Below are 27,002 nucleotides of genomic sequence, written 5' to 3'. Positions count from 1 at the left end.
GAAACAGTTCCTCCTTCCGTCAGAGTTTCAGCTGGAGGTGCAGACAGGGGAACAGGTAACATGTAGGGTGCTGCAGGGGCGCAGAGAGTTTCCCCAGACCGGGGTGAGAACGGCCTCGCGGTCAGCTGAAGAAGAGGGGAGAGCACCAGACACGTGCGTGTGGGTGTTGGAGGCGGAGTGGCCTGGGAGAGCCTCTCAGGGCCAGGAGTGGCAGGCTTGAGTGCTTGGGTGAGCGTATGATGTCATCATGTTTGAGTTGTGGCTTAGCCTGGCTTCAGGATTGAAAGCAGCCAGGGGTGTGGGGAGGTGGGATGGCCTGGACGGGGGCCTTAACAGTGGGAAAAGAGAAAGGGGCATCAATAGCAGAGGTGGGAGTTAGAAGTCACAGTATATGGTGATGGATTTGGATTTTAGTTGATGTCAGTGTGTCAGCTGAGTGGATTTGGAGGAAGCAGAGTTTGGTTTGGACATGTTGTGTTTTTGGTACCCTTGTGCGTCTAATGCGCAGAGGGCAGGGGATGTGCCACTGGTGCTGGGGAGAGCAGGCCAGGCAGGGAGCGAAGCAGACAGCACCCGAATCATCATTTAAGCCACAAAAGTGGATGAAATTCTCAAAGAAGAGTATAAATGGAGGAGAGTCAGGGTAGTGTAGTTGATCAAAAGCCTGAATTCTGGAGTCAGACTGCCTGGATTCGAGTCCTAAGTTTGCCACGTAAGTAGGTCTGGGGCCTCGGACAAACACTTGAAGCTCTCTGTGCCTCTTCCTTATCTGTAAAGTGAATAAAACCTCCCAGGGTTGTTGAGAAGGCTGGATTGGTTACTAAGTTTAGCGCATATGGAAAACATCAGTATATATGTCAGTTACTGTCGTTGTTGTGATTGCTGTTAGATTTTCTTAAAAAGGACCTAGGACAGAGCCCTGGGGCTGCCCCAGATTCCGGTGGAGTGGCTGGGACGGGTACTGGCAGGACCAGCAACAGCACAGTGGGGGTGGTGCTGAGGTGAGTGGGGAATGTGTGGAAGTGGGGGTCACCTGGAGTGCTAGGGTGAGCCAGGACCAGGGAACACATGCCTCGGTGCCACCTGCGGGGTTGTCTTGGTGTGCTGATGGATGAGGTTCCGTGGGTCACTCAGGCAGAGTCCTGCTCTGGTGCCCTGAGAGGTGGCCTGAGTGGGAGATGGGGATGGTTTGTGCTGACACTTCTGCCAGAGGTGACTGGGGAAAGGGGAAAGGTGGGAGTTGGCCGTGGAGGATAGGGCATTTGTTTCTGTAGAGCTCTGTTTCTTCCAGCAAGTCTAGGTGTTGTGCTGGGAGAGAAACTGGGCACTCCCCACGTGGTGTATGGGCAGCACGTGGAGATGGAGTTGGAGCTGGTGGGAGGAGCCCAGAACCTCTTCTCAGCTGGACTGAGAGTTGATCATTCTTGGGGTTGGGCAATAGTTGGGGCTGATGACACCATTTTTTCCACTTTGGTAGGTGTTTGAACTGTTCTGTAATAAAAAGTAGAAGGCAAAACTACCTTTTTTTGTAGTAACAGGAGGAGGAGGAAAGGACAAGGCCACAGACCAGAAGTATGTCTGAGGGCAGGTGTTGGGTGGCCTCGTTGCGGCCTCGGGGCTATGTGTGCTGGGGCCTGTGTCTCGTGTTGCCGAGCCTTGTGCTTGCCTGGCCGTCCATGTGAGCGCCTCACTGTCCTCTGAATGCAGCTTTGCAGACAGGTCTGTCAGTGATGGCTGCTTCTGCCTCTCCCTGGTTGCAGCTTGGATTTGTAAAGAATGGAAACAGATCTCAATATACTGGCAGAATTTGGAAAAGCCAGCAGTTAGTACACTTGGAGAAATGATTACATTCCTGGTTGTCGCAGGAAATACAAACCAAAATGAAATATATTTTTTGCCTATGGAATTAGCAAGTACTTTAAAAAATGGAAACCCAGTGCTGGCAAGAGTGTGCAAGGGTCCTGTTGTAGCGTGGCCCTGCCATCAAGAAGGCATTTGACAGAAGATGTGCTCAGAGCCTCTGCTCTGTGACCTGTCTCTAGAAATCCGTGCTCAGGACCCCCAGCTGGGAAAGGGGGTTCCAGGGTACCCTGTGTACCATGGTGAGCAGGGCATGCAGAGGAAACTGCGCGCTTGCAGGGCAGTCCTGGGCCGTCGGACTGTCTCCTTTGTTTCCCAGATGGTTTTTGACGAGCCTGACCTGGAAACGAGTTTGCAGCTGTATTAGAAAATGAAAAATGTAGTTGAAAACTATATTCACAGGCATCCAAGGCCCTTACTCATCTGGCCGTATCCTATCTTCATAGCCTCTTTCCTTAAAATATCCCTCCTCCAGGCGCTGGGCTCTGGCAGTACCACCCCACCGTCTTAAGAAGGTGCCGCGAGTGCGTCGTTGCTCGCACCACTTGCTTAGGCCCGTGCAGAGGCTCTGTAGGCAGGTATGGCTTTATTGGGCCCTCAGCACCCCTGTGAGGTAGGTGTCACTCCCGTTTCACAGAACAGAAAAAGGAGACCCGCAAAAGATAAATAATTTGTCTAAGGCCACACTGCTGGTAAGAGGCTGAACTGGAACCCAGGCTGGGGTGCCTGCACTGCTGCCCTTCATGCCCCCATGCCTTGGCTGGGCAGCTCCTGCGGCAGGAGCACCATCTGCTCTGCTGCAGGGTGGCCCAGTCACCTCGAGGGCTGCATACTCCTGAGACCGCTTTTCTGCCTTCTCGGGAGGTGTGTGGTTTCCTCTGCTGCTTGCATGTTTCAGTGTTGGCACTGACTTCCTTCTGCCCTTTGTTGCAGCAACTGGCTGTTCTATTTGCCCCTACCAGGTCATAGGCCTCTGACCGCCAAGAGCTCCACGTCTCCTTCCTGTGTCCATATGGGGCAGAGCTCCAGCGTAGTAGAAAGCCAGGGCACGGAGGGGAGGTGATTGTAACTTTGAATGTGTCTTGTTTTTCCTCTGATGCCTGTGTGCAGATCAGAGACATAAGTGGACTGGGAGTGTAAGCAAGGAGTTGCCAGCTCTGGGCTCCAGGACACCTGCTCAGTCTCCCTGGGCATCCATTGTCTCAGTGGGAAAGTGAAAGGACTGGCTTTGGTGATCTGTCAAGATAGTTTCCAGCTCTAAATGTCATCCTAGGATTACATTTTTTATGATAATAGCTTAATCGAGATGACTAGAATAAATTGTTTTCAACTGAATATTTAAGCAGTTAATACTTAATTTGACTTAATCTTCCCAACATCTCCATGTAGTGGGTGAAGAAACAGGCACAGAGGTTGCTTAGGCATAGCTGAGGTAGGACTTCAAATCTCCCTACGGGTTTCACTGTATCTCTTGCTTTTTAAAAACAGTTTGCTTTTGACTTGAATTGCTTGTGATGCTACTTCTAGAGATATTTGGTCTCTGTCCTTGCCAGTAGCCAGGGTGCAAAATGCAGGTCTGGTGGTTCTGATCTGATGGGGAAGTGTCACTTGTTCCTGGTTCCTTGGTGATCCTTGGGTTTCACTCTCATTACTCTTTTTGTTCCAGGATGTTGCGCGAGGTTCTCCGCTCGTAGCAGTCTGTACATTCACTCTAAGAAACACGTGCAGGATGTGGGTGCTCCGAAAAGCCGTTGCCCAGTTTCTACCTGCAACAGACTCTTCACCTCCAAGCACAGCATGAAGGCGCACATGGTCAGACAGCACAGCCGGCGCCAAGGTCTGCACTTTCCACGGCCCCCATGGGGAGCTGCTTCCCTGTGAGAAACGGGAACAGTGCCAGTGCCGTCTGTTCCTTCTTCACCTCTTGGAAGGCGTCAGGCAGTGGGGTTGTGGGCGTGGCTGCCAAGCCAAGTGGCCTCTTTTGCACTCTCTGCCACTTTCTTGCCTTTGACCCTCTAATCCCTCCCATGTCTTTTGTTTTTTGAGACAGGGTCCCTCTCTGTCACCCTGACTGGAGTGCAGTGGTGTGATCATGGCTCACTGCAACCTCAGGCTCCTGCTCAAGTGATCCTCCCACCCCAGTCTCCAGAGTAGCTGAGCCCACAGGCATCCACCACCATGCCCAGCTAATTTTTGCATTTTTTATAGAGACAGGGTTTCACTATGTTGCTCAGGCTGGTTTTGAACTGCTGGCCTTAAGCAGTCTGCCCACCTCAGCCTCCCAAAGTGCTGGGATTACAGGCATGAGCCACCATGCCCTGCCCCTCCCATGTCTTTGAAATGCTTTCCTGGAAGAATGTTTCACTTTGTTGACTTTCCCTAGCATATGTCCCCTAAGCCTGTGTCTCTCACTGGGACTTTTGTCCTGAATTCTGAACCTGCCCCTCCTGTGTTTCCGTCTGCCTCAGCTATTCTATCTCCAAGTAACAAAGGCTAGAGCAGAGTTGTGTTTCAGGAGTGGACTGGGAGTAACGAGGGCTGGAGAGGGCAGGGTTAGAGAGGAAAGTGACGGTGGCCTGGTGACCTGTGAGGGGAATGCTGAGTGTGTGAGTGCCTAGTCATTGGGCAGCTTTGCAGCATGGGACTAGGAAACCTACCCCACTAGGCCTTCTCCACAGTCCAGGATACAGAAGTGCCTGGCAGCTGTGGTGGCGGCCCCTCTGGGGAGCACACCCATGTGCCCTATTCTCTGGGCCCTGGTGCGGTTGTCGCTCCTCACCGGGCCTGGCTGATGGCATCCTAGCTGGCCCTAGAGTTACTTCTGCTGCTCAGTCCGTGGAGGCTGTGTGTGTCACCAACTGGGTCCTCACGTCTCCTGTGTGACCAGCAGCACCACAGCAGAGCACCGGCTTTGGGGCGCAGCTGTGTCACAGCTGCCGCGTTGGCAAGGGACAGGCCTCCATGCCTCGCACAGAGTTTGGTGAGGGGTTGGGCTCAGGGCAGTTCTGTGGCCTTTGCTTTCTTGTGATCCTATTTAGAAGTGGTCATGAAGCCCCTCCTTGGGATCTTGGACACTGATCTTTCACAGTTTACAGCAGTTGCCGTTCAGCTTTATATTTAAATAAATTGCCCTTCTGGCTTTAGTAGTGTCTTGAGGACACGGAATGTGCGTGCCACCTGATTCATGTTGGAGGGTGTCACCTTTGCTCACAGAGGCCCACATGACCAGGCCCCTTTTCTCTGAGGGCTCTGTGAGACTACATCACTTAGGCCTCTCCCCTGTTTGGCCGTTCCCTCTCATGGCACACTTCCCCTTTCCTGACCTGGCCAATTGAGAAGTCTGCAGAGGCCCAGTGTTATACTAGATGCACTTTCCTTAAACTCTAGTGGGATGTGAGACCCTCTTCTGTAGCAACCTATGTATCCCAGGATTGAATTTCCTGTGTGACAATGACTTATTTGTGTGTCATCCCCCTGCCAGCTGTCAGGGGTAGAAGACCAGGTGTCACCCTTTCGTCTAGTGAAAAACAGGCACTCGAGAACACCCAGTTACCGTGGGATTATGTCACGCCCTCAATGGGTTGTTTCAGTCCCCCTAATGGTGGTCCTGGGAGTGGGTTCCTCACTGCTTTGTCACTGATGAAACCAAGATAGAAAGGACTTGCCAGGGTCACACCTGCAAGAAGGGCTGGGGCTGGGCTTTGAACTGTGGTGATCATGACTGTTTTGCCAGATGCTCTGCTATCTAATGTTTATTTAGTGATTGTGTTAATATCTGGCCCTTGTACATGTCTGGTCTCTGGTAGTAAATGTTTATAGAATTAGTAAAGTGCTAAGTAAGAAATTTATTAATAAGTGGGTATCATTTGCACTGAGATTATTCATGATCTCTTCACAGGGAGCTGAGTCCTCAAGAGAGTCAAGGGAATTTTTAGGAAGTTTTGAAAAACTGACATAGTTTTCCATTTTTAATTTCTCCAAAGGATCACTACCATTTTCTTTCAAAATGCTTCATTGGTACTAAGGGATATTTATTGAAGAAGTGATACTATATTGATACTTTTTTTAATCTTTAAAGTAATATGACAACTAAAGAGGATACATTCTGAATTTGATTTTCTTTTTGTCTAGAATAGACTTCTTTTGTAGATTTGCATTATTAAAAATATAAAATATAATAGACATTCTGGCCAGGTGTTCACAGCCTGCAGGTATGAGCTTGGGAACAGTAACAGCTGGCATGGGAGAAATAGGATCAGAGAACCGAGAGCAGCTTTTCCTCTGGGCCAGGTGCTGGCACAGTCAGGAAGCTGCTGGGGACAGTCCTATGGAAAGCGTGACATCAAGTCCTTATTTGGCTCTTTTGCCCAAATTAATTATGCTCCCATTTTACTGTTTGCTTGATGCTTGAAGCATCCTGTGATTTGGTGTAATTGGCATGTACTTGTATACAAACCCTAAACTTGCCTATGCATTAAAATTTTTTGGAAGTCATTATTCCCCCAAAAGTATGCTGATTATTTAAATTACGTAGTTGAATAACAAATAATCAAATATTTAAAGAGTATTATGACCAGAAATTAAGACTCCAGATGAAGAAGGGCCTGTTAGAATCATGACATGCTGCAGGCGTGGTGGCTCATACCTGTAATCCCAGCACTTTGGGAGGCCCAGGCGGGCCGATCACGAGGTCAGGAGATCGAGACCATCCTGGCTAATGCGGTGAAACCCCGTCTCTACTAAAAACACAAAAAAATTAGCCGGGCATAGTGGCGGGTGCCTGTAGTCCCAGTTACTCGGGGAGCTGAGGCAAGAGAACGGGGTGAACCCGGGAGGCGGAGCTTGCAGTGAGCCGAGATCGCGCCACTGCACTCCAGCCTGGGCGACAGAGCGAGACTCCCTCTCAAAAAAAATAATAATAATAATAATTACATGCTGCATCAGGGCTGGGCACTGTGCTGGGGGCTGAGGGGACAGTGGTGGTCAGATGGCTCTCCACCCTCAGGAGGCTTGCAGTCCTGCTGGGGAAATGTGAGGCTGGAGATGCAGTGGTAGGGGAGGCTGTGGGAGGGAAAGCCCATCAGGAAAAGCTCCGTCTAGGGGGCCCCCAGCATGCCTGGAAGTCTTGTGCATCTGCCTAGAGCTGAAGCTTTGGGTCTGTCCTGGCTTTGCCAGGCAGCCAGTTTTATTTCCTTTGTTCACCCCTATATGGCTCCAGTCGGTTTTGGGGTGGCAGCTAGTTGTGGAGTGGAGCACAGAGTTTGGCAAACATGAGCTGACAAGCTGATTCGGAAAATATCCTCAGAGCACAGGCCAGCTAGCAACTGGCAGCTGAGTGGAAAGGTTCAGTCCTCTCGGGCAGCTCCGGTGGCACCTAGAGGGGAGAGGGTGCAGGCTTTGAAGCCAGAAAGACATGGATGCAAGTCTTACTTTGCTTCTTGCTGTTACCAGTTGGCCTGACCTTAGGAAATGTTATTTAATCTCTCTCCAGTTGTTTCCCCTGGAGAAAGCCCTGTCAGCCTGAGGATCCAAGACGCGTACGTAAAGTGTCTGATTTCAGCCAGTGTCCCTTCCTGTCCCTTCCTGGGGTGTGTGTCGGTTGCCCTGAGCGACCGGCCATGGGACTCTGTCGTGATAACCAAGCTTCAGGGTGTGGGAAGAGGACAGTCAGTGCTTCCTTGGGGCATCACTCGGTAACATCATGGGCATAAACAAAAGTACTCAGTCTTCAAGGTCATAAAGTAACCAGAGTGTATTCCTTTTTTTTTCAGATCTCTTACCTCAGCTAGAAGCTCCGAGTTCTCTTACTCCCAGCAGTGAACTCAGCAGCCCAGGCCAAAGTGAGCTCACTAACATGGATCTTGCTGCACTCTTCTCTGACACACCTGCCAATGCTAGTGGTTCTGCAGGTGGGTCGGATGAGGCTCTGAACTCCGGAATCCTGACTATTGACGTCACTTCTGTGAGCTCCTCTCTGGGAGGGAACCTCCCTGCTAATAATAGCTCCCTAGGGCCGATGGAACCCCTGGTCCTGGTGGCCCACAGTGATATTCCCCCAAGCCTGGACAGCCCTCTGGTTCTCGGGACAGCAGCCACGGTTCTGCAGCAGGGCAGCTTCAGTGTGGATGACGTGCAGACTGTGAGTGCAGGAGCATTAGGCTGTCTGGTGGCTCTGCCCATGAAGAACTTGAGTGACGACCCACTGGCTTTGACCTCCAATAGTAACTTAGCAGCACATATCACCACACCGACCTCTTCGAGCACCCCCCGAGAAAATGCCAGTGTCCCGGAACTGCTGGCTCCAATCAAGGTGGAGCCGGACTCGCCTTCTCGCCCAGGAGCAGTTGGGCAGCAGGAAGGAAGCCATGGGCTGCCCCAGTCCACGTTGCCCAGTCCAGCAGAGCAGCACGGTGCCCAGGACACAGAGCTCAGTGCAGGCACTGGCAACTTCTATTTGGTATGAAGCACTCTATTCAGTCACCACCATATAGGTCACTTCTCTCATACTCGGTCTTGAGGATATTCTGGATTAATCCTTTCTATGCAGACGTTTCTGGTTTACAAAAGGACGCAGCCCTGGACTACAAGTCTGGAACTGACAAGTTCTTATGACCTTGACAAATCACCTTAACCCATCTGAGCCTTAAATTCTCATTTATTTCCTGCATAAGGAGATTTGGCTAAATGCTTTCTGAGGTCCTTTGGAGTCCTGTGGCTCCATGGTAATGTGCTCCTTTCCTTGAAGATTGGGGGTTTTGTAATGTTGAGATACTTTGCCTCTATGCTTGTCAGCTCATGACCAGTCCTAGAAGAGGAGTCGAGACATAAGCCACCTTCAGAGGTTCAATGGAAACTTTAAAACCATACCAAACTCTTTTTTAAAATTAGAATTAACAAGAAAAAAAAAAAGGGTGGGGTTTATGAGCCTTAGTTCTTGGAGGATTATAAGAGTACTTCCCCAGTTTTGAGGCTGGACAGTTAATATACTTTATATCAATTATACATTTAATATAATTTAATTTAAAATAATTTAAAGATTCTTAGGAGATAGTCTGACTTTCCTGACCTAGATGGGAATGATCAGATAGGGATTTTTTTTGTGGCACAGGCTAAATTTGATGGTGACATTTATATTGTTGAGAATGTTACATCTTATTTTACCACAACTTTTAAAAAATGTTACATCTTTTGCAGTAGGATCAGTTGTGAGGCACATAGTAGCTGAGGCTCCATGGAGCCACCTTTCATTTCTTTCAGTCAGAGAGGAGGACAGTCTCTGTCTCTGCATTTCTGGTGTCTTGCTTGTCGGTGGCAGAGCCATGCTTGCCGGCATTTGCTTAGGCGGCCATAGTAGTTGCTAAGTGTACAGGTGACTGGGCAGGGATGGGAGGTGGCCACAGGTCAGAGACAAGTGCTCAGTCAGTCCCTGGTGCCAGGACTGTGTGCCTCGGTGCCTTGGGAAATGGAAGCTCCCTGGTGCAGCTGCAGCTGTGGGTGGAGGTAGAGAAGCCAGCAAGACCTTGGTCTTAACCCCGTGTTCATTTTCTTGCTAGCTGTGTGACGTTGGGCTACCTCGCTTCTCTGAGTACAAATGGTGTGTGGTGAATGGGTCCCAGGTATGCTACGAGCTTTGAGGGCTGCTCTTTTTCTCTTCATAGCGATAAGTGTTAAACTGTCTTTCTTAGGAAACGTTCACAGACTTGCAACAGCTGATGTCCTCTGAGTACTGTCTGACTCCCTCAGGCAAGTTCCTGAATTCAGTACCATCATTATTATTTTTGTGTAAGACTTTGACAAAGTATAGCCCCTGCCACCAGAGCAGCCTGTACAGTGGGTCTCTAAGGTGGGACCTGCCCCGGGCCTGCCATGCACGTGTGTGAAACAGCGTGAAAAGTGTCGCGGTAAGGTGACCCTGGGTTACCCAGGCAAGGCTCGGTGTTTGTTTCAGAAAGCAGAGAAGTATGTAATTGATTTTAAAAGTTTCTGTTTAAAATATTTGGCTATGTTTTAGACTATGAAGGAATGAACTTTGCTTCTCTGGATAAGAAAGTCACATACATTGTTCCAGCTCCAAGTTTGTTCGGCCCTCGCCACAAGTGGATGTAGCGTTTGGCCCTTTGTGTGCCTTGCTGGTGACTCTGGTTTTGGGAGCTCGGATATGTCCCAGAAGCAGGCTTATGGCACTTCTGTAGCTCCCTTGCTACCCTTCCTTTGTGTCTAGATAAGTGACTGACATGCTTTTCTTTGGTCTCAGGAAAGTGGGGGCTCAGCAAGAACTGATTACCGAGCCATTCAACTAGCCAAGGAAAAAAAGCAGAGAGGAGCGGGGAGCAATGCAGGTGAGGCCGTGTGTGCTGCAGCCGGACGAGCAAGGGCCTGAGGGTTCTCTGTCACTGTTACTGGCAGAAGAAACACAGCAGGTGTTTCTGTGCTCTTGGTTTTACTTTTCTGTTCAGAATACCCTTTTATCAACTCCTTAGTTTTATTTGAACTTAAGGGAAAAAATTAGTAACAAAATTCCCAGCATCAGTATGAACATATTTTATTTGCCTAAACAAGCTTTGTGAAAGTTAAGCGTTCAAACACCAGTGTCAGTTACCTGGAAGGCTACTAAGGTAAATAAGCAAAGCAGGCCAGTTGTCAGGAAAGCAGAGATTGTGCCTGGTGCTGAATGGCCTTGGGGCCTGATCTTGGCATGGCAGAGACCTGGGGACTGCCACTGTCCCCAGGTACGTGTACATGGAGCCAAACTGTGTGTCCTGTGGCATTGTCAGAGTTATGTTGAAATCTTATTTGAAAATGTTAGCAACTTACTTGCATTTTTAAAGACCAAACAAGAGCTGGTAACCTATGGCCTCAAGCATCTGTCCTTCCTAAAAATGGAATAGTGGGATGTAGTGCTTAATGGAAACTGCTAAATCTTTTTCTAAAAACTAACAGTGGATTTTTAAAATATATTGTTTTTTGTGTATTTCATTTGTCCTTTGTATTTATCTAAAAGGGTTGATATGATTTTATATCTTGCTCTCTATTCCTAATAGTATTATGACTTCTTATTTAAAATAAATAACAATTGCCGGTTTTCTGTTAATCAGTTTTCTTAAAGCCAGTGTTTCACTATAGTGTATGCATCAGTGTGAATTGTGACTTAGGAAGGGACACCTCAACAGTTCACAAAGTACCAGAATGGAACTTGCAGAGATAATAGAAGGAAGTGTGGTGGTGAAATTTGTAGAAAGAGTTGACCATATACCAAGGAAAGTTCATGAAGGAAAGCGGATGCCTTTATTGAACCTGGTAGATAATCTTGAAGAAAAAAGAGACAAACATTCAAGTATATAACACGTGTCCTATTTATTACATTGCTTTGGAGTACTATCTATAAAGGAGGTTTGATGTTTTCATTACTGTTTTTGTAAATATTTCAGCATTATCTTTAAAAAGTAAGGACATTGGCCAGGTGCGGTGGCTCATACCTGTAATCCCAGCACTTTGGGAGGCCGAGGTGGGTGGATCACCTGAGGTCAGGAGTTCGAGACCAGCCTGGCCAACATGGTGAAACACTGTTTCTACTAAAACACAAAAAAATTAGCCAGGCGTGGTGGCACGTGTCTGTAATCCTAGCTACTTGGGAGGCTGAGGCAGGAGAATCGCTTGAACCCAGGAGGCAGAGGTTGCAGTGAGCCGAGATTGTGCCACTGTGCTCCAGCCTGGGTGACAGAGTGAGACTCCATTTCAAAAAAAAAAAAAAAAAGTAAGGACATTAAAAAAAATTATAGCCATCTAATGTTGCCACTTCTTTAAAAATTAACAGTATTTTCTTAATGTCAGTATCTAGCAAATGTTCAAATTTTCAGTTGTCCCAGATGCCTCAAATATTTTATGTAACTGTCTGTTGGAATCAGAATCCAGTGGGGTTCATATGTCACTACTGGTTGATACATCATCTCTTGACTGTTTGACAGCTGTAGGGTTCTCTGCTAGGTCTTGCCTGGTTTTTGTTGAAGAAACTGATTGTTCTTTCGAGTGTGCCAGTCTGGACCTTAATGATCACATCACTGTTTTAATAGGTTCCTTCGTTTTTTTTCTTTTCCTGAAAATTAGTAGTTACGTTTAGTGGTTAGATCTGGTTGGTTGGTAAAACTCCGCTGCAGGTGGGAGTGGGCTCTTGCAGGAGACCCCCAGCCTCTGGTGGCAACCATTGTGACCAGATACTGGATCCACTCATTTCTTAGGGGTTACTCTAAACGGTGGTACTCTAAATCTGTCATTCCTTTCTTACTTATAGCTGGGACATGTCTATAAAGCGCAGCTTCTCGTTTTTTTACCCTGAGGTGCAGTTCATGATGTTTGAATCTGTGTGAGTTTCTTAGCATCCTGCAGTGATGGTCAGAGTATTTTAATGCACTCATTGGTTTAAATACTTCATACACTTCTAAGGGAAATGGAAACCTGGTACCTGCTAGGTCTCCGTGTGTGAGTGCAGCAGGAGAATGTCCTCGTGAGGGTGAGGCTGCTGTCAGTGCCACCCACATCCTTGAAAAGCCCCTCCAGGTGCCTCAGCCAGTGCAGGAAGGCCACCGTCTCTTTTCCAAAACATGCAGGGCACTGGTGTCTTCCCGCGCCCATGGGTCTGCTGTGGTTTTAGACACATATTCCTGCACAGCGCTCCTCTGTGTGTCTTGTCACAGTGTTGCATCCTCTGGCGGGGATGCCTTTGCCCGCCTCCCCTCAAAGCAGCATCCTGCATACTCATGCTGCATTTATCACAGCTGAGAGTCCCCTGTGGCCGCAGTCCTGGCAGCTGAATGGCAGACTTGATGTGAATGTGACCAGACTCCCCCAGTGCCCTTCCCTGTTCCAGGTTCCATGTGCATTTAATTGTCACCCCTCCCCGTCTCCTCTGGTCTGGTTGAGGGCCTTGGCCCTCCCTTGTCATGATGCTTTCAAAGAGGATGGGCCTATCGCTCTGGACCGTCCTCCCTGTGGGCCTGCCTGATGTCTTCTGGAGATGAGACCCGGGCTGGGTTGCTGGAGACGGGGGTGAGGTGCCCTCCCCACACATCCTCCCTGGGCCATGCTGTCCACACGGCAGATGTGGTAACCTGGATCACTGGTTAGGGTGGTAGCTGCTAGGTTTCTTCACCATCAACTTCTTGTTTTTCCCTTTGTAATTAACTATCTTGCAGTAGATGCTTTGAGACTGTATGTGGGGCTTGGGGGTCCCTAAGACCACCTTCACTTCTAATAGCAACTGCAAGCTTGGGGGTCCTCAAGACCACCCTTAGGTAATTCTCTAGAAGGACTCATGGAGCTCACTGATAGCTGTTGTACTCACGGCTAAGGCTTATTGCAGCAAAAGGACACAGATTAAAGCCAGCTGAGGGAAAAGGGGCCCAGGCAAGGCAGGGCCCATGAGAGTTCCTAGTGTGACGCTTCAAGTGTCCTCTCATGGAGGTGTGAACAGTGCCAACTTCTCCCAGCATGTGACAGCACCCAGAGACCATTGCCCCCCAGGGAAGCCCACCTGAGACTCACTGTCTGGAGTTTTGTTGGGTCTCAGTTGTGTGGATTGGCTGGCCTTAGTCTCCAGCCCTCCAGAGGCTGAGCTGGCGCTGTGTGCCCGAGGCCTCCACCACAGGGTTAGCACAGACTGTGGAAGTGGCCCAGGGCACCCAGTTAGACAGACATTCTTACCAGGCAGGACTTTCCAAGGGTCTAGAGATCTCCCAGGAGCTGGGGGCAGAGGCGAGGCCTCTCTGGCAGGGTTAACCCTTTGCCTTGCACTGCAAGTGCCCTGTTTCTCTTTAAGCTTTCCTCTCATGTAACACTCAGCAGGGGCTTTTTGCCTGTGGGGTTTAATGGTGATTTTCCATTTCCCTTATTCTTGTGTACTTATTAATTTTATAAGGAAGAGCTGTCTCTTCTCCCTCATTTACTTATTCGCAGTATGGATTCAATGATACTGATTCTTTTTTTTTTGTTTTTTTTTGAGATGGAGTCTTGCTCTGTCGCCCCGGCTGGAGAGCAGTGGCGCGATCTCGGCTCACTGCAAGCTCCGCCTCCCAGGTTCACGCCATTCTCCTGCCTCAGCCTCCCGAGTAGCTGGGACTACAGGCGCTGCCGTGCCCAGCTAATTTTTTTTTTTTGTATTTTTAGTAGAGACGGGGGTTTCACCGTATTAGCCAGGATGGTCTCCATCTCCTGACCTTGTGATCCGCCCGCCTCGGCCTCCCAAAGTGCTGGGATTACAGGCGTGAGCCACCATGCCCGGCCTCAACGATATTGATTCTTTGGGCTGTAGTCAGTATTGGATTATGATCAATATTATCACCATTTATTTTGTTGCTCCAGTTCTTCCAGCTGTGGCCAATCCTTCAGTTGGATTCTTGTGCCCCATCAACATTCTCCATCCTGGCTTTTTGTTTTGAGCACTTCCTTCCTTCCTAGCACCACCAGGCTCTTGTATTATCCCTGTCCCTGCCCTGGAATCGACTCCTCCTCCAGAGAGCCCTGGTTTCTTTTGTTAGAGGATGGTATATAGAATCCAACATGCAGACACTCGGTGGACTTATTGTTACTGGGGTTTTGTTATACTAGGGTTTCAGTGGTCAGTGCTAGTATTTATGTATGTTAACCCACGCTGTGCTTTGGATTCAGGCTATTTCAAATTTTAGATAATATGGTACATATATTATTAATACCACTAGTTACTACATTGGTACTTTTCAGCAAAATATATCTAAGTGGGATCAAATGAGACTGTAAATAGCTTTACATCAGTTCAGGTCAGTTATGTTGCTAAATTACTTTTGGCATTAAGTTTAGGGAAAAAAAATTGGGTTTGGGATTTTTTGGTTTCAACATTTGTGATTGAGAGACTATGGACCTGTAATAAGTCCAAGAACAGCAGTTGCAGTGTAACAGGACTGTTAATGGAATCGGGTCATTTAGAAACAGTCAAGACTTCGCTGTTGTGCATGTGGTTAGGAGCCAGTGCACACGTCAGTTCTTAGGAAATGTACAGTCTGAGCAATAGCATTTGAAATCCAAGACTCTTCCCATTGTGTTGCTGTTGAGTGTAGAAAATAAAATGTGTGAATTTCTTTATCTTGAGTATTGAGATTCTCCCCTTAGAATAAAACAAGAATTTTTCTCTCAGTGTAAAAATGTCAAGTTTTATTCTTGAAATGAATAGCAAAGTTAAGCTTAAAAACGTGAACAGCTTCAGAACTATAAATGGGTATGTATACCTTTCTGCTGTCTAAGGGCAGAGAAGGGAAAGAAAGTGTGGTGCTTATCAGAGGAGACAGCAGCAAGACACATTGTGACAGAAAACCAAGGGTATCCTGTGTCACAGTGAAGTGTAATGAGGGCACCTCTCCTTTCAAGAGACGAAGATTGAATACATGGGAAGCACACTCTCCGCTGTGTGTTGTCTAGGAGAGGTGCACCCTGTATGGAAATATTTGGGAAGGTTAAGATTAAGACAGGGTAAAATAAAGCAAAGGCAAATCACAAAGCAAGGGCTAATGTTAATATGAAAAGTGCAGAATTCAAGGAAAAAGCATGGGGACAAAGAAGATTTTTCCTCTTTTTGGTTGCTGTTCATGTGTAGCCTACAACAGAACTATAAGACCTATAGACATTTATATGAATATTTATTTGAAAACGTATAATATCAAACAATGTAAAAGCCAATAGAAATCTCAGATAATTGAATGTATAGAAACTAGCAGTTTGAAAGTGATTAGTTCATTATTTGCTGATCAAGCAGAAAAATAAGCATATGAAAGATATTTAAAATGGGATTAATAAAGTTGATTTAACAGATCCTATTCCATGTCCTTTGAATATTTATAGAAATTAAATGGAACAAATTAGGGCATCAGGAAAACTATACAAAAGTCTTTACCAAAAAAAAAAATATATATATATATGTGTAGTACTACCTATATATATACATAATATATAGTACTGCTTATATATATATATGCCTATATGTACACATATATATATACATGTATAGGCAGTACTATGTTTTCTGATCATAATATGTTAAATTAGTAAAAATTACTTGGAAAACAAAACCTCTAGACAATCAGGTGAAAGAAGAAATAAAAGCGAGGCTGGGCGCGGTGGCTCATGCCTGTAATCCCAGCTCAGCTACTCAGGAGGCTGAGGCAGGAGAATCGCTTGAACCCGGGAGGCAGAGGTTGCAGTGAGCCAAGATCGCACCATTGCACTGCAGCCTGGGCAACAAGAGCGAAACTCCTTCGCCAAAAAAAAAGAAAAAAAATAAAAGCTAATTACAAATACAGGAAAATGGATAGGCCATGTGTTTATAAGTTTGAGCTCTTGAGCCAGTGACTTCCCTGCACGTTCAGCTTTCTCCTTTGTGAAATGGTAATAGAAGCACGCTGCACTTGGGATTCTTGTGGATTACATGTGAGGGTCTTAGAAACACTTGATGTGTAAGCCAACTATTATGTATTACTGTATATGGAACACAAGGGATGTAGCCAAAACTAAATGCAAGTTTGTGCCTCAGATGTCTTCCTATCAGAACAGAGTCAAATCCAGATTTTGATGCTTAAATGTGACAGCTTATTCAGATTTAGAAAAACTTTTGGTATGGGCCAAAGAAAACATATCCTTAAGGGGATATGGCCCCTAGGCCCTCATTTTCCTTTTCTGTCTGAGCAATTAAAAAAAGCATTAAGTAAATTCCACAAATTCTTTGGAATACCTAGAGATAAACAGATATCATGTTAACTGTATGATAATAAGTTAGAATACTTGCAACAAAATGCAGAGTTTTCTAGGAAAACAAGTAATCATTCAGAAATAAGAATATGAATAGTTCCTCAGTTCTCCCCCTTTGTGGAATTTGTGCAGTAAATGCTGCTCCAAAGCTCTGTGGAAAACAGAAGCTTCCCATGAAAAATCTGACAAGGGTATCTCTCAGAAAGAGAGCTGTAATCCCAGCACTGTGGGAGGCTGAGGTGGGAGTATTGCTTGAGGCCAGGAGTTCAAGACCAGCCTGGGCAACGTGGTAAGACCCCCATCTGTAAAAAAAATAATAATTAGCCACGCGTGGTGGTGCACACCTGTGGTCCCAATTACTGGGGAGACTGAGGCGGAAGAATCGCTTGAGCCCAGGAGATGGAGGTTGTCGTGAGCTAGGATCTGCCACTGCACTCTAGCCTGGGTGACAGTAAGACCCTTGTCTCAAAAAAAAAAAAAAGAAAAACTGCAGATTGGTGACTCTTACGAAGATAGATGGAAATGTTCTAAATAAAACACACTTAGGATCTGGCAATATATATATTTAATGTACTATTCTGACCAAATGGAGCTTAATCAGATAGCTTGAGAATGATTTAATGTTACGAAATCTGTTAATTGCATTATCTCAATAATAGATCGGTGAATAACTTTATTATTCTCTCAACAAATCCTGTATTTGATTTACAAAATGGATGGGAGGTTTCAGGGAGAGCAGTTGGAAGCCTGTGTGCTCACCTGTTAGGAACGAGAGTGGCAACAGCAGTGGGGAGGAGTGCTCGGCTCCTGCACCTGTCTCGATGGCAGAGCCCACAGGCTTGGCTGACAGACGTGGGATGAAGGAAAGAGAAGCCTCTCACTCTTCCCACAGCATTGTAGTGCGATTTCATGCAGAAGTCCAAGCAGGTTCCAGGACAATTGTGTAAGAAGCTATGGACAAGAACGTCTAAGAAAACGGAAAATGACATAGAGGATTTGCACTGTAGCTAAGACTTCACGCAAGGCTGTGGCAGCTGAAAGCATGTTCTGGTGCTGGGGCTGCGTGGCAGAGCCAGGAGCCCAGGATCCAGCGCACTGGGCACCGACCTGGGACCTGGTCATCTTTGCGTGTGGAAAAGATGGCATTTCCAGTTATTGACAGGTGAATGCTGGCCTTTTAGGGAAAAAAAAATATTAGAATTCCATACAGAATAAAGAATGAAGATGAGAGGTTAAAGGTTTTTCTAAGGCATGAAGAGCTGTGGGGGCAGCCTGCCCTTGTTCTTTTTGTCGTGTGTCCTTCACATGCAGTAACTCTGTTCACGCCTCACAAAAACCCTATGAGGTGGAGACCTGCCATCAACCCTTCCTGCACGGGTGCCACTGAGGCCCCAAGGTTAAATCATTTCCCAGAGTGTATCAGCAGAGGCACAGCCACAGAGACACGTCCGCACAGAGAGCTTTCCAGATCACCAGTAACAGCGTGAGATCATGGTGCAGAAGGTCATGAGGAGGATGGCAACGAGCGAGACACAGCCGGTTGGTGCTCACAAGGACATTGGTAGATCTGACTGAGGGCCAGGTCGGCTAGGCCTTCCCAGGTGACAGGAGCCCAGTGCCGGCCTTGGTGCACACAGCGCGTCCTTGTGCTTTCTCAGGAGAGCTTCACTGGGGACACTCTGTGATGTTTTTGGAGGGTCATTTGGTAATGTGTTCAGGAGCCAAAAAATATGCATAATATTCAGTCTTACAATTACATTTTTTGAATTTATCTCAAGGAAATCCCAGGGATCTGTGTGAAGCTGCACATGCTGCTGCTGCTCAGTGCGGGACTGTTTATAATATTTGTAACTCAAATGTCCAGAAGAACTGTACACTCTGTGCATGTTTTCAGTAAGTTCATATTTGTAAGAAAAAGTGGGTGTGTTGAGAGACAAATTTTTGTGTACATTTACCTGGAAACAAGCAGTAGTACACATATGCATGCATGAAGTGGTGTTTTCCTGAGTGTTAAGATTGTGAATGTTTTATTATGATCATTTCTACTTTTTCTATTGGAAAATACTTTGTGTAATTAAAACATGAAGATGGAGCTACCATCAAAATGGTGAGCAATAGAGCACTGTTCCTCCTGGGGTGGCCTGGTGGGCCTGAGGGACTCAGGTGGTGATGAGGAGTGGCCTTGAGTCCCTTTCCTTTCCATGGGACAGTGGGGACGAGAGCTAGAGTGATGAGGCAGGTTAAGTGTGTGCCTACCTCCCTGTGGCTGGAGCACTGTTGTGGCCACCCCGGGACCCCCTGAGCCTGGTGTCGCCCTGGCTTGCTGGTCCCAGCCTAGGGAGTGGGCCCCTATGGGCAGAGGGTGAGGTGGCTGTGCTGGCACTGCAGCTCAGGCACACACACACTGGAGTGTTCCAATGGGTGATCAGGTTGGATGGAGCCTTGAAATTAAGTCAGTGATGTAATTTTTATAATCTGTTTCACTTTAAAACAAAAATCTTTGCACACCTGGTCCAAGTTTTCTCCCCTTTCTTCCTGTTGCTGCCATGATGAAAGCAGAAGGGACCACCCTCCAGGGAGAGCAGCAGGAAGGGAGATGCGGGTAGGGGCCCTGGGTCAGCAGGGGCGGTCAGTCCGGAGGTGCACCCCCATTTATTCCTCGTTCTGGAAGAGATTTCTAGTCACATGCATGTGGCTCCTGTGCCACATGTGTCATGAGGTGCCCAGGTGGGTTTGGATTTGGATGAGGGCATCTTTGAGGATGCAGGGGCTTTGTCATACCCTGTGGGCCCCGTGTACACCCCTGGGGCAGATGTGGCCTCTAACAGGGGAGGGTGCGTGGATCTCTAAGCCGGGGAGGAAAGCAGATTGCAGACTTGCCGAAGTGGGAGCTGTCTGCTCTTGTGTTTTCTTTAGGGGCAGGAGAATTTTGCCCAGCAGTCCCTCGTGGCTCCCTCCACACCACTGACCCTTACGCATCCAAGGTTGGAGCCCTGGCAGGTAAAGGGTGAGCAAGGTGCAGTTGCCTGTGAGCAGCTGTGGAGGGGCCTTTCCTGTTGTACACTTCCTGTGAGGGTCTCAGACCCCTTGCAGACTCTGGACATCACTTCCTAGAGGGGCCTGGGCTCCTTTAGTCCTGTGAGTAAAGCTTTGGTTTTGATGACTGTCTCAGGGAAAGGTAGAAAGGTGCTTGGTGGCAGTGAACTTCCTGCTGCAGAAGTGGGTGTGACCCCAGTGCTGGAGAATGGGCTGTGAGCCGAGTTTCCCGCACCTGCATGAGTGAGCGCCATGGTCCTTCTCCACAGAGCGTCCTGCTGTCACTTTGGTTTGTGTTAACTTTGACGCCTTTCTTGTTTCTTACTCTGCTTTCCTGCATGGAGCACACAGCCCCGGCTCCCTTTCAGTCTGCATGGCAGACACCTGGCCTCTGCAGGTCCAGTTCATTCTGTGTCCCCTTTCGGTCGTCCCTATGTTGCCGTCAGGTGATTGAGGGTGAAGGTCGGCCTTGGCAGCCCAGTGGAAAGTCCCTTGACTCCTGGCCGTCAGTGGCAGGTCTCCAGCCTTTGGGAGGAGGAAACTTCTATTTAACAAAGAAATGGAATTGACTTTGCCACACACAGCCAGAGCGATGATTTGTAGAGCCAACCTGCTGAGACATTCAAAGCATCAGTCGTAGGGTCAGGACCGCCAGGTGAGGTGTGGCTCCACCTGCAGCAGCCTGGGGCAGGTTGCCTAGCCTCTGGCTTTAGCATCCCCTTCTGTGAAATGGGGAAAGTGATGGGACCTGGCTTTGTAGGGTGGTTGTGAGGACCTACAGGGGTTTTTGCAAAATACTTAGCCCAGGGCTGACTAAAAGATTCAGAGACGCTGGGCATGGTGGCACACACCTGTAGTTCCAGGTACTCGAGAGGCCGAGGCGGGAGGATCACTTGAGCCCAGGAATTAAAGTCCAGCCTGGGCAACATAGTGAGACCTTATTTCTTAATAAAAAAAGGTAAAAGCTTTGGTAATAGTTTTAAACATATATTTTGTTCATTACATCTTCTTCTGTACATTCAACATTTTGTCAGAACAAAGTAAGAGAAAGAGTGGCAGGGCTTTGTGTGTATGTGGTTTCAGAGCTGCTGACCTCTAGGATGGGGTCCTGCTACATTTACTCTTCTGAGGCCTCCGGAGCTGGCCTTGGCTGCCCTATGCCATACCCTGTGCTATGTGCCGTGCCTGTGGACCTGCCCTGCCTGCGTGCTGCCCCGTCCCGTCTCCCCAGGCAGTTCCTGCACCTCCTGCCGTGTGGATGCTGGCCGTTGCTGTCTGACTCGCATTCTTGGAGACACTGACCCAGGCTCCTCTCAGCGCTTCCAGCCAGGTTTGGCAGTGGGAACATTAGGGGGAGATTAGAGGGTGTGTGGAGCGAGGCAGGGCCTCACTTGCTCTGCTTCCGTGGGAGTTTCATGGCGATGGCCGTCTACCCTCATGGCTGTGGCCCCAGTTCTTCCTGGGTGGCCCCTGCTGTAGTTCTGCTATACGCTGTCCCTGTTCTGGACTCTGGTGACGCCACACCTTCCCTAGTCCCTCCAGCCCTAGGGGTGGCAGCCCCACGACGTGCTGGTCTCTGGTGCTTGCTTCTTAGTGCATGGCCGTGCCATGCCCTGGTGCCTGCCCGGGATGCCTGTGTGGAATGCCCAGAGTGTTCTAGGCAGGGTCCCCTCTGTGATTAGCTCCTCAAGGGTGGTGTCTGTGTCACAGACACTTTGGGGTCCTGTCAGTGGCCTCTCGAGGCTCCCAGGGTACCCTGTACTTTCTCACCCCTTGTTGCTCATCTATTGTGGGTTTGTCTGTGTGCTGCAAAATGCACGGCTGTACTGAGCGCACCAGCCAGCAGCTGTAAGCTCCATGTGCAGGGCCACCATCTGGCCGAGCACCTGCCATGTGGTGAAGATACAGTACATACTTGTTGAATGGGTGATGAAACTTGCGCAGACCTCAAATAAAAGCTAATAATTTAATGTATAAAGCTAACATACCCTGGTTCTAAAACTTGACAAAGGTGTGATAACTATTGAAGACATACGGTGTGCCCTGCACAGTTCTAAGCCCAGCACATCTACATCTATTACCCCATTAGTCCTCGCAACAATCCTGTGAGGTGTAGGTCCTCGTGTCCCCACCTTTCTGGATGAGAAAGCTGAGGCAGGAAGAGTTCAGCCAGGGCTGCATAGCTGGTAGGGGCAGGGGCAGCGGCAGGATTGAACCCAAGGCCGGCTGCCCTCAGAGCTGTTACTGAGCCTGTTGGCCACGTGGTATGCAGGAACACTGTGTCTCACCTCCAGCAGGTGAAGCAGGCATGGGAATCCCAAGTGAAATACCAGCACATGGACAGCGGGCGAGGGTGATGTGGGGCGAGGCAGCCTGTCAGCATGATTTGCCACAGCAAATGCCGCAAGAGACGTGCAGGGTCCACAGAGGCCGAACAGGGCAGTTGATGACATTCATCACCTGCTACTGATTTGAAAACATCACAAATATGAATCAACTAGGAACCCAGATTTCCCTAATACTAGAGAGCAGCCAGCTGTCAGTGGCATTTTCAGTGGAGAGATGTTGGCATCCCCCCAAAGCTGGAGGAATGGTAAACCAAACCATTGGCGCAATCTATTTGACACTTTTATGGAAGTCTCTATTTTTAAAGAAGCAGAATCAAATAGAAAGGAGAGAATGATGATTACTTAATGACAAAGTCATTGTCAGGCTTAGAAAACCCAGGGGAATCAACTCAAGCAATTAGAAATAAGAAGGATCAATAGATAGCTAATTGCACAGTACATATTTGTATATATAAAATTAATAGATTTTCCAATAAGAATAATTGTGAAAAACTGACCTTATTCATAATGACAGTAAAAGTAATAAAATATGCCAGGCTCACTCATGACAAGTGTGCTCTGAATGGGTAAGGTCCTGTGTAGGGTCTGCCAGCTAGAGATGCCCAATTCTTGTTCACTTACATACTTTATTCAGTTCCTGTAAAATCCCAGAGTAACTTAAACACCTGTCTACTTTAAGTTCATCTGGGAAGGTAGCTTGGTGAGAATACCCATGAAGGCTGTGAGATGGGAGGAGGCAGTCGGGTACTCAGGGCCTGCCAGATGCCCTGGAGGAGAGAGTGCCCCTGCAGAACAAAGGACCTGTCGTGTGAGCAGCACATCCCTAAGCAAAGGGTGAGCACTCAGCACAGGCAGGGCTGGTCATGTGGGTTTACTCTGGAAGAGATCATTGTGGGTTCCTTATGCTTTCTCCCCTGTAGCTTCACCACCCAAGAAAAACTACTTACAGTGTTTCAGTGTTAAACTGAATGAAACCTACACAAATGTGAAATCTGAAACCTACACAAATGACTTGTTTTTGAAAAATGATAAACATTTTTATCTGCTTTTTGTTCTTAATATGAATATTTTTCCTTGTGGATAAGTATATTAACATATTATATCTTTATAAGAGCTGTGTTGAACTAACCATGTCAGGGACCTAGTGAGTTAAGCCCCAGTGACCTCTGATCTTCCACCCTTGGGAGAATTGGGAAAATAGTCACTTACCTCCTGTTCAAGTGAGGATCTCAGTAGAGGAAGCTCGCATGACCCCCTGTGGTTATCAAGGGAGGGGCCTGAGCCTCATCTGTGCAGATCCTTTCTCGGGGCACCTGGCTGGCTCTGAACTCTGTCCTGTGGCAGGCACTGCGGTGCTACTGGTGTGGGGATGGCATGCTGTTTGAGCCAGGCCCAGTGCTGTTGACCTCACCTAATTCTCGTCATGGCACGGTGAGGTGAAAGCAGTGTGGCCATCTCCATTCACCGCAGATGATGGGAGCTGAGTCACATAGCTGGATCGTCCAGCTCCCAAGCCGGGGCCCTTGACCACTTTGCTATTTACCATCATACCTAGATAGGACTCTTCCTTAAGGAGTCCTTCCTTGCTTCCCAGGAGGTTGCTTGGTGTTGGATTTATACTGCTCCTCTCCCCACTCCTGCAGATTCTCCAGCACAAGCAAGCATTTTGGATAATGATTGAAAATATTGAAGCAAAATGTAGTTCGGTGTTGTTACCTTGTTCTATAAGGGTTTGTGGTTGTCCATTGTGAGAGAGGAATTTGATTTTTCTTGTGACTGCTTTATTAATTAAATTGATCATATTGCATTTGATGCCATGGCGCCCTTTACTAGTGAGGACCCAGGGCTTCATGGTTATCGTGAGGACGTGGTGTGGACCCCATTTGTTTGCTTTGGCATGTCCTTAAGCATCCCTAGATAAACATACTTGCTTAGTTAACCCAGGAAGTTTATGATTAACTTTCAGCCATCTTAAATGTTCACGACATACCACCAGACTTCAGGGTGTACCGTCAGGGATTCTAGGACAGAACACCCTGCTCAGGCCTGGGGGACAACTCAGCAACTGGGGCTTGGCCCCTCCTCCCCTGGCTGCCCTGTTCTCTCACAGCTGTTGGCCTGGACCCCTGCATCCTTTCCAGGTTCATCTTCCAGGTGCAGTCCTTGCTGGAACGGACTCTCTGAGAAGGGGTGTCCGAGCTCATCTGTGGCAGGTTCTCCCCCTCACCCACAGCTGTCCTTCTGCTTGCCAAAAAACGGGGAGGCTGCAACTCTCCACCAGACTTCTACTGCAGTGTGTTGCCTTGGAGTGCACACAAAAACAGGATATCCTTCCAGAGCACCAAACCCAGGGGCAGTTCCAAATACTGGTTTCAGGGAAGCATCCTGTAGAATAATACCGACATTAAAACTTTAATGAGCCGGGCTTGCCAGCTTACCCTTCCTGTGCAGAGATGTGTCTAGGGGTGGACGCTGAGATGTTCTGCTTGAGGTACATCAGAGAGGGGATGTGGGGCATGGATGGACATCTCTCGTAGAAAGTCCTCACCTTTGCCAGCCCTCTGCTGTTGTCAAAGAATGTATTACTTTTCAGGAATGAGCCCTATGTATGTATAAGCGTGAGCAATTCTTTTCAGCTATTGACTTTTTATCCCTAGACGAGTTGTTAGCTGGGAAGAAAAATACCTTCTGATGCAAATTAGTGGTGGTGTTTCTTCTCAGTGTAACTGGTGTCTACAGGACTACCTGAGACACTGAATTAAATGTGCGGATTGAAAAGAAATTCCTGTGATTTTTTTTCATATTGTATGCTGATACAGAAGTTGAAACCAATTTAGCTTGTCATGAGATATTCTCGTTACAGCCTATCTTTTTTCCTGTTGTAAAAGTAATACAAGTAAATTGTTAATAAAGATAGAATCATTTTAGTTACTGGTTTAGGTATAAAAGGAAAGTGTAACCATGTCTAGCAACATTAGTGGAATTATTTCTGATTTTGCACCCAATTCTGATTTTCCCATGATTCGAATGGCACATACATTCTAGCACACATTTTGCAAAGGAATATTAGGATTCAGTCATATTTCTTGCTTTGTAGGTAACTTAGAGCGTGGCGTACACATTTGGCATTGAATCATGATGAATGGCTCAGTTTTATCTTGTTTATGTTATAAAACTTGATAATAAATACTTGATATACATCATTTAAAATCTTGCCTGCTTTTAAAAGAAATCTGGAGAGATACACTATTCACTGCCTGCCTTAATTTATTCTACAGTGGTTTTCATATTATTATTATTTTTTTTTTTTGAGAGGGAGTCTCGCTCTGTCACCCAGGCTGGAGTGCAGTGGCATGATCTCGGCTCACTGCAAGCTCTGCCTCCTGGGTTCATGCCATTCTCCTGCCTCAGCCTCCCGAGTAGCTGGGACTACAGGCACCCGCCACCACCACTGGCTAATTTTTTGTATTTTTAGTAGAGACGAGGTTTCACCGTGTTAGCCAGGATGGTCTCGATCTCCTGACCTTGTAATCTGCCCGCCTTGGCCTCCCAAAGCGCTGGGATTACAGGCGTGAGCCACTGCGCCCGGCCAATATTTCTAATATAATAACATGTTTCAGTATTTTTATTTGAATTTAAAAATGAAGCCAGGCCTTTTATTAGAAAGCAAGCGTAATGCGACTGTTCTGGCTGCAGCACCGGCCCTGCTGCTGGGGCTTCGTGGGCAGGCAGTTCCCCCTCACTTGAATAAACTCAACCTGCAGCTGCAAAGTTGTGATGACACATGAGCATCTTATTTTAAAAAAGTTTTTAATTGACAAGAATAGATGCTGACCATGTCTAATTCTAGCAAGAAGTAATATTTAGACACAAATACATGAACTAACTGGGGAAGAAAACCACCAGTCAGTCCCACTCCTCTTGAAAAGCATTTTTAATATAATTTTGCTTTTAATATCATAATTATCTATCAAAGTTTCTGATATATTTTGTTTTGATTTGTTTTGCATTACTAATAATTGCAGTTGTAACAGTTCAAACCAAAAATGTTAATGCCTAGAAGTTAAATAAAAGTTAAGTTTATGTACATATTTTTATATGCTAGGGTGATAAAAGACTTGAAAGCATAGAAATGCATTCAGGTAAAATTCTGGAGGTAAGTGGGATAGTATACAAGCTCACGGAGGATATAGGCACGCTTCATTTTTTGCAGTTGACTTTTTTTTTGCTTTTTACAAATTGAAGGTTTGTGGCAAACCTGTATCCAGCAAGTCTGTTGGCACCATTTTTCCAACAGCATGTTCTCACTTCATGTCTATGTCGGTATTTGTTAGCAATAAAGTATTTTTAAATTAAGGTATGCATTGTTTTAGACATAATGTTATTGCAGACTTAATAGACTGCAGTACTAGGAACTGATGTGAAGTTTCCTCAAGGAGGGGTGAGTAAGTTTTGTGCCCCAGGCACCTCTCTTGCCCCAGACCCAGCCCTGCTCTTCTGTCTGAAGCAAGTAGAGCAATTAGAAAAAGAGAAACCAGGCGTGGAGAACAGTCAGAGATGATCCAGAGCGAGGGTTGCTGGGTTTTCTGGAACACTGATGGATGAACAGAAAGGAAGTATTTTGTAATGGAAGTGCATCTCCCTGCAGTGAGGGGGAACTGAATCTGTGTTACCCAGAAACCTCCTGGTTAGCATTTGCACTTCAAAGAAAAAGAGCCCTGAGGCACCCAGAAAAGACAGCAGGCTGTGCCTAAGTACAGAGGACCCAAGGTTTGTGCACCCAGTTGGCTTGCCTGCTGAGTGTGAAGCTCTCCGGGACCCAGGGCACTGCGGAAGACAGGAAGGGATCTGGAGTGAGGTGAGCAGGTCAGGGAGACAGCATATGCAGGGCAAGTCAGCTCTCACCCCATGGGCTGCTCAGAACCTTCCTGTCAAACAGCCTCGTAAAAACAGCCTGCCTTGGGCAGCAGGGTCACCCAATTGAATACTTTT

The 27,002-nt window shown here is 47.3% G+C and overlaps 1 protein-coding gene across 7 annotated transcripts in view, besides 2 other annotated features; it reads left to right on the top strand.

The window, feature by feature from the left end:
• Positions 1-27,002, top strand: part of ZXDC (ZXD family zinc finger C) — a 38,291-nt gene that overhangs the window by 6,040 nt on the left and 5,249 nt on the right. For 2 of the 7 annotated variants that reach the window (NM_025112.5, XM_005247757.4), the window contains exons 5-7: positions 3,527-3,697; positions 7,632-8,317; positions 10,115-10,199. In NM_025112.5, coding sequence (NP_079388.3) covers positions 3,527-3,697; positions 7,632-8,317; positions 10,115-10,199 — 942 coding nt within the window. Of the gene's footprint in view, positions 1-3,526; positions 3,698-7,631; positions 10,952-27,002 lie in introns of those variants that run through there. The other 5 variants (XM_006713741.3, XM_047448901.1, NR_104249.2 and 2 more) reach the window with 4 other exon arrangements.
• Positions 1,139-2,116: an enhancer, noted in NCBI's record as "H3K4me1 hESC enhancer chr3:126186579-126187556 (GRCh37/hg19 assembly coordinates)". NCBI's record gives its function as "activates a minimal SCP1, AML or CMV promoter by ChIP-STARR-seq in naive H9 embryonic stem cells {active_cell/tissue: H9 hESC(naive)}" and the evidence as "EXISTENCE:reporter gene assay evidence [ECO:0000049][PMID:30033119]".
• Positions 20,585-21,524: an enhancer, noted in NCBI's record as "H3K4me1 hESC enhancer chr3:126167171-126168110 (GRCh37/hg19 assembly coordinates)". NCBI's record gives its function as "activates a minimal SCP1, AML or CMV promoter by ChIP-STARR-seq in primed H9 embryonic stem cells {active_cell/tissue: H9 hESC(primed)}" and the evidence as "EXISTENCE:reporter gene assay evidence [ECO:0000049][PMID:30033119]".

This window comes from Homo sapiens, chromosome 3, assembly GCF_000001405.40.
Source record: "Homo sapiens chromosome 3, GRCh38.p14 Primary Assembly".
In the NCBI taxonomy this organism is placed as follows: Eukaryota; Metazoa; Chordata; class Mammalia; order Primates; family Hominidae; genus Homo; species Homo sapiens.
Note: the sequence above shows the minus strand (reverse complement) of the source record. Positions and strands in the feature narration are given on the sequence as shown.